The 13,727-nt window shown below is 40.8% G+C and overlaps 1 protein-coding gene across 24 annotated transcripts in view, besides 2 other annotated features; it reads left to right on the top strand.

The window, feature by feature from the left end:
* REV1 (REV1 DNA directed polymerase) overlaps window positions 1-13,727 on the top strand; it is an 89,726-nt gene that overhangs the window by 10,899 nt on the left and 65,100 nt on the right. The window lies entirely within an intron of this gene.
* Window positions 183-262: an enhancer, noted in NCBI's record as "active region_16288". NCBI's record gives its function as "activates an Ori minimal core promoter by ATAC-STARR-seq in GM12878 lymphoblastoid cells {active_cell/tissue: GM12878}" and the evidence as "EXISTENCE:reporter gene assay evidence [ECO:0000049][PMID:35858748]".
* Window positions 3,044-3,707: an enhancer, noted in NCBI's record as "H3K27ac-H3K4me1 hESC enhancer chr2:100092059-100092722 (GRCh37/hg19 assembly coordinates)". NCBI's record gives its function as "activates a minimal SCP1, AML or CMV promoter by ChIP-STARR-seq in primed H9 embryonic stem cells {active_cell/tissue: H9 hESC(primed)}" and the evidence as "EXISTENCE:reporter gene assay evidence [ECO:0000049][PMID:30033119]".

The following is a 13,727-nucleotide window of genomic DNA, read 5'->3' as shown; positions in this document are numbered from 1 at the left end:
CCAGGCTGGAGTGCAGTAGCCTAATCTCGGCTGACTGCAGCCTCTGACTCCCTGGTTCAAGCAGTTCTTCTGCCTCAGCCCCCAAGTAGCTGGGACTACAGGGGAGTGCCACCACACCTGGCTAATTTTTTTATTTTTAGTAGAGACGGGATTTCACCATGTTGGCCAGTGTGGTCTCGATCTCCTGACCTCGTGATCCGCCCACCTCGGTCTCCTAAAGTGCTGGGATTACAGGTATGAGCAACTGTGCCCAGCCTGTCGCCTGCAATCTAATTAAAACCTTCACCTGGTGAATTGCATTACTCCTGATGTGAAATTCATTCTACTTAGGACACGTTGTAGCATCATTCTCTCTACTGTATATAACCTTTCTCGTTACCACTGAACTGTCCTTTTCTCTATTATCACCACTATAGATACATTTTTAGGTACAGGCAAAACCAGTGGTTCTCAAAGTGTGTGCCGCAGTCCAGCTGGAAATGCAAATTTCCAGCCCTGCCCTAGACTCACTGAATCAGAAACGTTGGAGTTGGGGCCCAGCATCTTGTGTTTTAACAGGCCCTGTGCTAGTGATTCTGATGCATGCTCACGTGTGAGAATTACTGCTTTAGATATATTTCCCTCTTCTTTGATATTATTTCCTTTATTCTTCAGCTAAGTTCTGTTCTTCCTGTTACTAGCTCTTCTGCTGTGGCCTTTGGAATCCCTGATTTATTGCAACCTTGAACTTTTCTACAGATAATCATTTGGCTTTCCTGTGAGATTATACCACTTCTCCTTAGTGAAGATCAGTGGCTTCTTCCTCCTTCCTCTAGACTCTTAATTTTTATCATGTCATCTCTAGAACATTCTTTTGTGTTCCTTCGTAGCTTGATCCTGCTTATGGACATGCTGACTTTGAGATGTGTAGAACATCCTAGTGGAGATGCTTAATAAATGCAATTGGGCCATGTGGTTTGGAACACAGGAAAGCAGGAAAATTGAGGGGAAGGTGTTTGGAAAGTGGGTGATTTGGCCGCACTCTGGAAAACTAGAGAAGGCAGTTCTCTTTGGTACTTTCTATTTTTTATTTTTTTGAGACAGAGTCTCAGTGTTGGCCAGTGCAGTGGTGTGATCTCAGTTTCACTACAACCTCTGCCTCCCGGGTTTAAGTGATCCTCCTGCCTCAGCCTCCCGAGTAGCTGGGACTACCTACAGGTGTGCACCACCACGCTCGGCTAATTTTTGTATTTTTATAAAGATGGGATTTTGCCATTTTGGCCAGGCTGGTCTCGAACTCCTGACCTTAGGTGATCCACCTGCCTTGGCCTCCCAAAGTCTTGGGATTACAGGTGTGAGCCACTGTGCCTAGCCTCCTAGGTACTTTATTAAAACAGTGTCTCTACTTCTTTCCCTTTCTATGGAAATCTGTAATTGAAGGGAAGAAAAGCATTAGTCGTTGTTTCAGGAAGCCCCCTTCAGTTTGTATTAACTATTGATTTTGTTAAATCAAGCATCTTTTTTTGGTAGTTATGAATAACAAGAAGAATAAGAGAAAACTCTTTGTTGTATTGAATTGTTTGGGATAGACGCTTTCCTTTTAATCAGATCAGCCTCAAACTGGGACATACAAATGTTTGTTATACATTTTCAGGTTTAATATATCCAAATATTTTTTATACAGTACATCTTATTGTTTGTCTATTTTTAATTTATATAGATATTGAATCAAAATCATATTAAAATGCTCAGATGTACTTATGCATTAGGGTACAGGCTAAGCTGCTGTAACAGGGACTTCAGAATACAATGGAACAAACAATTTTTAAGTTTTTCTTTCTCCTGTAATAGTCCAGAGGTAGATAGGCAGTCCGTAGTAGGTGAGCACCTCAGTGTTTTAGGGGTTCCACAGTTCTCTGTGTGCTTAGCCCTTCCATAGGGTATTGTCCTTATTCCCATGGTTGAAGCTGGGTTACCTCACAACTGCATCCCAGAAAAAGAAGTAAACAGCTTTCTTTAGGAATATGGTTCATATTTTTGTACACATCACTCTGCTCATACCTCCTTGGCCAGAACTTAGTCACATGGCCACCCCCGATTTTGAGAGGAGCGTGGGAAATGTAGTCTCTGGTTGCCCACTCTGCCTCCTGCTAAGAGGGGCGGGAGAGGTGTTCCATTACTAAAAGTAAGAAAGAAGAATGAATACTGGAGGACAGTGCCGTTTTGCCATCGTGGAGTTGGGGTCCCAAGACCACCCTCACTTATGAGATCAACTGCAAGTTTGGGGATCCACACCATCCTTAGGTTAAATAATTGGCTAGAAGGGTTCAAAGAACTCCTGAAAGGGCTTTTACTTATGGTTGGATTTATTACAGTGAAAAGATACAGAATAAAATCAGCCAAGGGAAGAGGTGCATGGGGCACACAGAAGAGTCCACTTACGAAACTTCCAGTTATCCTCTGCCAGCGAAGTTATGGACGGTGCCAACTTCTGGCACTGATGTGTGACACTACTCATGGAGATTGCCTATCAGGGAAGCTCACCCAAGCCTTGGTGTCCAGCATTTGTACTGGGACTTGGTCACTTAGATATGATTGACTGTTGGCATGGTTGACCTTTAGTTTTCAGCCCTTCAGGAGGTTGATAATACATGGCTCAAAGCCCTTCACCTTAAATCACAGTGCAAAACTATCTGGAGTGGCTCAAAGCCCCCAGGTAAACAAAAGCACTTAACAGGGTGGACATTATTATTATTATTATTATTATTATTGACAGATTCTTGCTCTGTCACCCAGCCTGGAGTGCAATGGCGCAATCTGGGCTCACTGCAACCTCCGCCTCCCGGGTTCAAGCAATTCTCCTGCCTCAGCTTCCTGAGTAGCTGGGATTACCGGCGTGTGCCACCATGCCCGGCTAATTTTTGTATTTTTAATAGAGATGGGGTTTCACCATGTTGGCCAGGCTGGTCTCGAACTCCTAACCTTGTGATCTGCCCGCCTCAGCCTCCTAAAGTGTTGGGATTACAGGCGTGAGTCACTGCTCCCATAAGGTGGACGTTCTAAGGGCTTAGAGGTTACCTCCCAGTCTCATCTTGGACCATGTGAAGGGGGGGAAAAGAAAGGATTACCTCCCAGGAACCAAGGGCAAAGGCCAAACATCTGTTTGGGTTAGGATTCTTACTGCACAGCCACATCTGTGGATAGGTACATCTTGTTGTTTTTTGGCAAGCATAGAAAAAGTTACGTAAAGTTGCATAATATGTATGTGTTTGTTGAAAGCGTTTTTAAAACTAGATGTGTAGAATCATACACATTTGTTTATTTTCATTTATTTATTTTTTTGAGACGAAGTCTCACTCTGTCACCCAGGCTGGAGTGCAGTGGCATGATCTCAGCTTGCTGCAACCTCCGCCTCTTAGGTTCAAGCAGTTCTCTGCCTCAGCCTCCGGAGTAGCTGGGATTATAGGCTCCCACCACCACGCCTGACTAATTTTTGTATTTTTTAGTAGAGATGGGGTTTTACCATGTTGACCAGGCTGGTCTTGAACTCCTGACCTTGTTATCCACCCACCTCGGCCTCCCAAAGTGCTGGGAGTACAGGCGTGAGCCACTGTGCCTGGCCTATTTATTTTTTTTTTGAGACAGAGTGTTGCTTTGTCACCCAAGCTGTAGTACAGTGGCTCAATCTCGGCTCACTGCAATCTCTGCCTCCTGGGTTCAAGCGCAGAATCATGTACATTTAAAAAATTGCAAAAGACTCTAGAATTTGTCAGGTCTGTAAAAAGTAAAAGTAGATGTACCTCTTCAAAGACTTTCCTCCCCATCTGATTAGAAATAAATAGTAACTTCTCTTAGAAGCAAAATTTATTCAAAGACCTGTGCTCCTAAATATTTGCCCTGGCATGCTTATACTGGTCCAAGCAAGCATTAGGTCATATCCTGTTCTCTTCCTTATTTAAAAGTGTTTTTATCCTTCTCAGCATTCCACAAGTTACTTCCTCCTTCCTTTGTTCTCCTCCACCTTTGCCTCTTTTAAAAAGTTCTAAGTTGCTAGCCAATCGGAACAAATACAGAATGTGAGGTCCCGTTCCAGCCAATGGAAACCAGACACAGCAGTATGATGGACGCATCAGGTTATAAATGACCCTGTCTCCTTTGTTCCTTGTACTCTCATGGCAAAACTGCTGGCGAGTGTACCTTTTCTGCAGGAAATAAAAATGGCCTTACTAAATAAATTAAATTTATGTTCAAGTGCTGTTTCTTTATGGCACCGGGGAACAAGCATTTCAAACAGGTCCAACTCTTTCCACATACGGAGGAACTAAAATATGACTGATTATGACTTGCTTAAGTTCAGAGAACCGGTTAGCAACAAAGTTGATGCTGTCTTTGAATCTCTACTTCTTTTTTTTTTTTCTTTTTTGAAACGGAGTCTCACTCTGTTGCCCAGGCTGGAGTGTAGTGGCACAATCTCGGCTCATTGCAACCTCTGCCTACCGCGTTCAAGTGATTGTCGTGCCTCAGTCCCCCAAGTAGCTGGGATTACAGGTTCCTGCTACCATGCTCGGCTGATTTTTTTCTTTTTAATAGAGACAGGGTTTCACCATGTTGGTCAGGCTGGTCTCAAACTTCTGATCTCATGTGATTCGCCTGCCTCAGCCTCCCAAAGTGCTGGAATTACAGGCGTGAGCCATCGCTCCCGACTTCTGCTTATCAATATGGACTAGTTGGGGTCTAGATGGAGCTTAATTGTAGGACCTGTTTTCTTCCTTAGTTTTGTTACATATATGGCTCTATTATGATCCAGACTGTTGCTAGATTACCTGGTGAAGAAGCATCTGTTTTGTTGAATTGTGTTAGGTTACTTCAGATCAATAGGAGTATTCTTAACTTTTTAGCAGTTCATATTGATACCATTATTATTTTTTCCATTGAAGATTTGGGAACATAATTTTGTAGAAGATGAGTATGATTTTGTACCACAAGCCAGCAGTGCAGCCTTACAGAACTTTTTAGCTTCTCTACCCTAGAAGTCAACTATTGTGTGCAAAATAAATAGGACTTGGCTGACTCACTCTATGGATGAGTTGTAAAGATAAATGGTAGATGTAAAGGGGTCTTGGAAAACTAAGGATACTTCAGAAGTGAAAGGTATTACTAGTAATGTGAAATGTAAATAAATTAAATTTGAATGTTAAAAATTAAAGGAACACTAAAAGGAAGGAAATATAAAGTGTCAGTTAATAGGTGAATTTTTTTAGGTGGTAGGAATTTGGGTAATTCTTTCCTTTTCTGTTTTCTGTATTTTCCAATTTTCTGCAATAAACACGAATTGCTTTTATAAATAGAGCAAGAAAAACTATTTTTGAAAAGGAACACCTAGCAGGATTGCATACTGTACTTAGCATTACAAAGCAGTGTATAAACACAAGTCAGTGATGAAGGAATAATAGAGAATGTCCCAAGAAAAGATGGAAAGATCATACTTACTTCAAGAAAAGGCTTATGTACCAAAACCTGTAATTTTTTCTGTGGAGAGTGCTGTGTGCCACTTTGATAGATTGAAGTTCTTTGAATTCTGTGTTTATCAAGATAGTATCTCATCTGGTACAGAAATTGTTTTATTGCAGCAGAAAAAATTAGCAACAGGAAAATGTTTCAGTATGCTGAAGGTGTAAAAAAAACACATAAAGTGGCAAAAATGGGTTTTATTAGGTTAGGAATAAAGCCTGATCTAAATATCTTAGACTTGTATATTTTTAAAAGATATCTTAAATACATGAAAGACACGCAGCACTATGCTTAGAATGTGAACTGTTGGCTTGGTTTAGAATCAGTCGCTAAAAGCAAGTAGAGGTTTCCAGAGCCAGTACTTGTACTTCTGGGAAATTGTGCCCTTCACCTAGGTGTCTGAATTTTTTTCTTTTTTCTTTTCTTTTCTTTTCTTTTTTTTTTTTTTGAGACAGTCTCGCTCTGTCGCCCAGGCTGGAGTGCAGTGGCACGATCTTGGCTCACTGCAACCTCTGCCTCCTGGGTTCAAGTGACTCTCCTGCCTCAGCCTCCTGAGTAGCTGGGACTACAGGCATGCGCCACCACTCCCAGCTAATATTTTTTTTGGATTTTTGGAGACAGGGTTTCATCACATTGGTCAAGCTGGTCTCAAACTCCTGACCTCAAATGATCTGCCCACCTCAGCCTCCCAAAGTACTGGGATTACAGGCATGAGCCACCAGGCCCGGCCTTTTGTTTTGTTTTATATACCTTGGTGAGAGTCCCTTCAAGATCAAAACCTGACTAGTTTGTGGGATGTGCATGTCTGTAGTGCCCGTACAACTTCAGCAATTGTTTGAAAACTGTAGCCGTAGACAATGATGGTCTGTAAGGTTGAATCAAAACAAAACCCACAAACAGCTGTATTTTTATATCTAAATGTTACATAAAAAGCTGTTTGTGCTGTTAAAACTTTTACCATTAAAGGACAGAATAAGAGCACATTGGAGCAGACTGTTACCAAACTTTTTTTAGGGCATGCGTGCTAGCACTTTATGTACTTAGTCACTCATAAAGGCAATACCTGGTTCTTGTAAATTCTACAAATGGCCTCCCACTACTGCCAATTCAAAGTAAAAAACAAACAAAACACCCAGGTACTGCTGTACAGATTTCTTGAAGTAGCCTTTTTCCCAGCTTTGCACCCCACCTGAAGATCCTGTCCACTGCAGCTTGCAGGTGCCTATACAGTGTTTCCAGCTTCAGAACTACTTTTTTAAAAAACTCTTTTCTTCTTAATTGTGGTACGATACATATAAAAGTTTACCATTTTAACTGTTCAGTCACATTAAGTACATTCACATTGTTGTGCAACCATCACCACTATCCATCTCCAGAACTCTTCACCTTGCCTGAGACTCTACCTGTTAAACAGTAACTCCACCCGCAACCACCATTCTGCTTTCTGTCTCTGAATTTAACTACTTTAAATACTTCATATAGGTAGAATCATACAGTATTTGTCTTTTTGTGAATGGTTTATTTCACTTACCATAATGCCTTCAAGGTTCATGCAAGTTGTAGCACGCTTTGGAATTTCCTTCCTTTTAAGGCTGAATAGTATTTCGTTGTATGTATATACCACATTTTGTTTACCCATTCATCTGTGGATGGACACTTGGGTTGCTTCCACCTTTTGGCTATTGTGAATAATGCTTATTAATATGAATGTACAAATAAATACCTCTTTGTGTCTCAGGTTTCAGTGCCTTTGGATATATACTCACAAGTGGAATTACATGATAATTCTATTTCAGATTTTTTGAGTAACTGCCATACTGTTTCTCATATCAGCTGCACCATTTTATATTCCCACCAACAGGGCTCGGGGGCCCAATTTCTTCCTATCCTTATCAACACTTGTTTTTTTTTTTTTTTTTTTTTTAATAGTAGCTATCCTGCTGGGTGTGAGGTGGTATCTCATTGTGGTTTCTATTTGCATTTCCATAGTGATTAATGACACTGAACGTTTTTTTGTGTGCTTATTGGCCATTTGTCTATCTTCTTTAGAGAAGTGTCTGTTCAGATCCTTTTTTTATTTCTTAGTGGCGTTGTGTGTTTATTATTACAGTTTATGGTAGGAGTTCTTTATATTGGTAAGTGTATGAACCCCTTATCAGATATGATTTGCAGATATTTTCTCCCATTCTGTGGATTGCCTTTTAACCCTTTTTTGCCCTGTGATTCACAGAAGTTTTAAATTTTTATGTAGTCCAGTTTATCTGTTTTTTTCTGTTACATTTTCCCCAAAAAGTCATTGCAAAATCCAGTGTCATGAAGCTTTTATGTTTTCTCCCAAGAGTTTGATAGTTTTAGCTCTTATATTTATGTCTTTTGTACACTTTAAGTTTTTTTTTAACATGGTGTAAAGGTCCAACTTCTTTTGCATGTGATATCCAGTTTTCCTATCACCATTTGTTGAAAAGATTGTCCTTTCCTCATTGAATGGTCATGAAGAGGTTCTTTTAAACACAGATGACCCTGGGTTGGATCATACCTTAAGCCCTTTATTAACCAGTTCCTTAGTTGTCAATAAATGCCTTAGCAGAGAATTGACAGCTAAGTAAGATAAAGAGGCACTGAAAACAGAGAGGTGTTGAGTAGAGATATGGCAGGGCACCAAAGGCAAATTGTGTTTCAACCTTGCCTAGATAAGGGGTGGCCACAGGCTGCTTTCTTTGCATTTGTGTCATATTCATGAATTATGTTATGCTACTATAATGTGCACATTCATTCATTGCATATTCTTTGCATGTCAATTTGTAACTACATTCAGTAAATATTTCTTAGATAACTATTACATAAAGATAGGATAAACCTCTTTGGAATGCTTGTTCCCTGGTGCTGTAAAGAAGTAGCACTTGAACATAAATTTAATTTCCTCAGCAAGGCCATTTTTATACTTTCTGCAGAAAGGGTACACTCGCCAGCAGTTTTGCCATGAGAGTACACCGAACAAAGGAGACCGGGTCATTTATAACCTGATGCGTCCACCCTGCTGCTATGCCCGGTTTCCATTGGCTGGAACAGGACCTCACATTCTGTATTTGTTCTGATTGGCTAGCAACTTAGCCAATCTTGTTTTAAAAGAGGCAAAGGCAGAGGAGAACAAAGGAAGGAGGAAGTAACTTGTGGAATGTAGAGAAAGGTAAAAACACCTTCAAATAAGGAAGAGGAACAGGCTATGACCTAACGCTTGCTTGGACCAGTATAAGCTTGCCGGGGCAAATATTTAGGCTAAATTGTGGGAGCTAAGAACATAAAGTACATTGATTTCTTTATTACGGCTAGCAGATGTTTAAGAATGTTAGCACAGGTCTTTGAATAAATTTTGCTTCTAAGAGAAGTTACTATTTATTCCTAATTACACGGGGAGGAGAGTCTGAAGAGGAACCTCTACTTTGCTTTTTACAAATGTATACATTTATATATGACTGTATTAATAAAGACTGATTAAAAGCCACTCAAAATGAATTTCATTAGTTAATCAACAGACTTTAGAGTTACAGATATGTAACCATCAGATTAACACTGAACATTTGAACATTTTGTGGATATGTAGTGGAAGTTTTTCTAGTGTGTGATGAACTGTTTAGAACCTTGTAATGCTAGTAATTATTTTGTAAATAGATGAAATATCTTTTTTTTTTTTTTGAGATGGAGTCTTGCTCTGTTGCCCAGGCTGGAGTGCAGTGGTGCAATCTCGGCTCACTGCAAGCTCCACCTCCCGGGTTCACGCCATTCTCCTGCCTCAGCCTCCCACGTAGCTGGGACTACAGGTGACCGCCACCATGCCCGGCTAATTTTTTGTATTTTTAGTAGAGACGGGGTTTCACCGTTTTAGCCAGTATGGTCTCGATCTCCTGACCTCGTGATCTGCCCGCCTCGGCCCCCCAGAGTGCTAGGAAATATCATTTTTACATGAAAATGAATGTTCCTGGTGATAAACATAATTCTCGGGGTAGATAGTAAAATCTACCAATAACTATAGTAAAAAGAAAGCAGAATAAAGTTTAGAATGAACTGATAGTAGTGTGTTCCAGCAAAAGATAAAACATTAGGAAAAATGCATGCATAAGTAGTCTTGTTATATTTTTAAATAAGCATGTCCTTGATGAGACTCTTGATAGAGTTTTGAACATCCCTATTGAGAGAATGGAAAGAGGAAGTCTTGTGTAGGCATTCAGGATCCCTGGGCTCCTCATAGACAGAGCTGCTCTCCCATTTGCCTTAACCTTACCTCACCTGGCTAGTTGTTACTGCATGTTAGCACTGGGGACTGGACATGGCTGTATTGACAGCCTGTAATTCAGTTGGTCTTTATAATTTGATTACTTGAGTTTTAGCTGGTAGGTGAGTTTTAGCTTGTGAACCTTTCGAGGGTTGGGAGATTTCCACATGTGACTGTCTTACAGAGTCACATGGAAACAGAAAAGAACCAAGAAATTTTGTACTTAGTTTTTAGTTCATTACTCTTAGTTATCAGTCTTTTTCAAGTTGTCGTGCTTTTTCTTCAAGAACAATCTTGTTCAGACCCTAAACCTAAAACTTACGGGGGAAAAAAAGCATGGCTGCTAAAATTGAAGGTGGGCTTAGAGACTGGAACCTTGCTTGCTTGCTGTTTTTACCCCCAACTTTTTTCTTCTCCCCACCATATCCACCCTTCATCCAGTCATGGCCCCACAAAGATTCTGCAGTCGAACTTTGTTTTATAGATGAAGAAATGTTAGGCTCAGTGCTGTTAGACTCACTCTGAATCACATTGTTAGGCAGTCGTAGAATTGGGATTTGAGTCCGTATCTAGTCTACTGTTATCATTATGTTGTAGACCATGGATAACTGACTTAAAATAATGATGTTCTCTGTGTTATAGTTTTCAAAGGGTTTCCACGTGTGTAGTCTCACTCGATTTTCACTCTGTAGACTGGCAGAGTAGATTACTATAACAGTAGTTAATGTTTATTGAAGGTGTACCCTAAATGTTAAGGGTAAGGGTACTTTTGCATTCATGTATTCACTCTTCATCCGTTTTTTAAACTAATTTTTTGAAACACAGTAATTGGCTGCCCTGTTAAAGTTACTGGATAAGGAGAGATTGGCAGGTTATTTTAGGTTGTGAATCACAGTTTCAGAAACTGTTATCACATTCCTCAAGGTCATCAAGTTATGTGGAATTAAATTGGGAGCCTGGTCTGCAAGAGTTCCTCTGAAAACTAGAAGGCAATTTTTGTTTACAAGTCTAGCTTGATAATTGGATGGTTTGTCAATACAGGGCAGTCACTTCTTAGTGAGTAGGTTTAGTCAAGAGGACACATTGTAATTCAGGAGGTTGCTTGGAACAGGATAAAAACAGAGGGAGTGTGTTATTTCTGAAGGATATTTCTGTCAAGTAGTGGTATCCTGATTAAATGCCCTCCTCCGTTCTAGGGAAAGTCCTATTTAAAGAAGCAAATCAGTCATCTTAGTGTGGAGAACTTTTCCCTGGATGTTATTACAGAGGCATTGGCGGAGTCTCTTTTTCGAAGATCCCTGCTGATTAGCAGAAACAGCCCCCATGCCTGGCTAATTTTTCTTTCTTTCTTTTTTTTTTTTTTGAGATGGAGTTTCGCTCTTGTTGCCCAGGCTGGAGTCCAATGGTGCAATCTCGGCTCACCGCAACCTCCGCCTCCCGGGTTCAAGCGATTCTCCTGCCTCAGCCTTCCGAGTAGCTGGGATTACAGGCATGCGCCACCATGCCCGGCTAATTTTTTATTTTTAGTAGAGACAGGGTTTCTCCATGTTGGTCAGGCTGGTCTCAAACTCCCCGCCTCACGTGATCTGTCCACCTCGGCCTCCCAAAGTGCTGGGATTATAGGCGTGAGCCATCGTGCCCAGCAATCTTTTGTATTTTTAATAGACATGGGATTTCACCATGTTGGCCAGACTGGTCTCCAACTCCTGACTTCAGGTGATCCACCCACCTCGGCCTCCCAAAGTGCTGGGATTACAGGGGTGAGCCACCACGCCTGGCCCACGATCACCTTAATCTGTTTTCAGAGATTGAAATAATGAATACAGTTTCTGCAAAGTTTGGTCTGTCTACTTCCAATTTCTTGTTACTCATAGGGTTCTGATAGCAATTGCGGCAATCTTTATCCTTGGAAGACCCTTGGACTCTACTTTTTCTCTCCTAGCACTGTTTGTCAGAAACTTTGCCCAGTCTCCCAGCCACTCTTCTAGGATTGCCAAATGTTCTCAGAGGGAAAAATAATCTGGTTTGGGGAAGAGAGGTGGGGTGGCAGATCTCTGAAGATTTTTGTCCTCTTTGGAATGTTGGCTAGTAATTTTTGATTGTTTGATTTCTGGATCAATAGGAGTTTGTTGTTCATGAGTCAAGTTATTGGAAATGACGAAGCTAAAATTTTCAGTCCTTCATTCTTTCCTTTTCCTTTTAAAGTTTTAAACATTTGTCTGGAATAGTTTTGTTACTTTGGAGTTGGGGGAAAGAACCCTTAATAGCTGTTTTTTTTTTTAATTTTTGTTTTTGTATTATAACTGTGTTTCATGCTTCTAGCCTCATTAAACCATCATTAAGGAATTTTCTTATTGGCCTTGTGCAGTAGGTATACAACAGACGTTACACAACTGGATCTCTTAAATGATTGGGCCACCAAATGTATTAAAATACACTTTACTCCTTTATTTACCTTTATTTAACAGTTTAATAGCTGCCTTTAATTATCGGGGTATGTGTTTTTAGTGTATAATGGCCAGAACTCCCAAACTCTTTACTTGTTCCAGCAGGTGTATGGATTCAGTTTACATGTAGTCCAGTGCTGTGTGTTAATGTATCTCCCAGATTTCCTTTAAGGGCTGAAGTCTGTTGGGACTGGACAAAATGAGCCTCTTGAAAACAGGAGAAATATTTAACAGAGCATGTGGTACTTCTGGGACTTGATAATGAGCACATTGGGTATTCATGCTCCTCCTGCCTTCATCAGACTTAAAAAAGAAATCTCTCCTCAGGGTTAATCAGTTTACCACCTTTTCTCGGAGCACCTTGCACATGCCCCTAAAACGTTTGTATTATCTTGTCTCTCTGTTGGGACTTAACCTTTTGACAACACTTCTGCATGTCTTTTAGGCATCTTTTAAGGGTGACAGTAAAAATTCAAATTGTTATAAATGTCAACAAACAAAAACCAAATCCTGCAGTATACTAAGAATAAAAATATTCATAAGAAAATATCTGCTGGCCAGGCATGGTGGCTCATGCCTGTAATCCTAGCACTTTGGGAGGCATAGGCGGGCAGATCACCTGAGGTCAGAGGTTCAAGACCAGCCTGGCCAACATGGTGAAACCCCATCTCTACTAAAAATACAAAAATAGCCAGGCATGGTGGCAGGTGCCTGTAATCCCAGCTACTCAGGAGGCTGAGGCAGGAGAATCACTTGAACCCGGGAGGCGGAGGTGGTTGTGAGCCGAGATCGTGCCACTGCACTTCAGCCTGGGTGACAGAGCAAGACTTTGTCTCAAAAAAAAGAGGCCGGGCACGGTGGCTTACGCCTGTAATCCCAGCACTTTGGGAGGCAGAGGCCGGCGGATCACGAGGTCAGGAGATGGAGACCATCCTGGCTCACATGGTGAAACGCCGTCTCTACTAAAAATACAAAAAAAAGAAAAATAATAATCGGGCGTGGTGGCGGGCACCTGTAGTCCCAGCTACTCGGGAGTCTGAGGCAGGAGAATGGTGTGAACCCGGGAGGCGGAGCTTGCAGTGAGCCGAGATTGCGCCACTGCACTCCAGCCTGGGCAACAGAGCGAGACTCCGTCTCAAAAAAAATAATAAATAAATAAAAAGAAAGAAAGAAATTATCTGCTAATGTGTGTGGGGTAAAGTGTCATGGTTTAAGGTGTTGTTAAGTAAAAAATTCTCATAGATCATATCAGAGCTGATTTGACGTGGATAATATATAAGGCTTCATATGGTAACCATTTGATACACATGTATATAGTTACTAGAAGAAAATTATCTTAATAGAAGTCATATTAATTTTGTTAAGAATAAATGTAGTCATAGCCCAAAATGTAGCTGTTTGTGTTAAAAGGCTTTGACTTTACAAGGGGTTTCATTTAGCCTCTTTTTATGAATTATATATTTTGCTAGCCACTGAGCCAGCTGCCACTTAATGTGAGCCATCATTTGGTCATCCTGGTG

This window comes from Homo sapiens, chromosome 2 (genome assembly GCF_000001405.40).
Source record: "Homo sapiens chromosome 2, GRCh38.p14 Primary Assembly".
In the NCBI taxonomy this organism is placed as follows: domain Eukaryota; kingdom Metazoa; phylum Chordata; class Mammalia; order Primates; family Hominidae; genus Homo; species Homo sapiens.
Note: the sequence above shows the minus strand (reverse complement) of the source record. Positions and strands in the feature narration are given on the sequence as shown.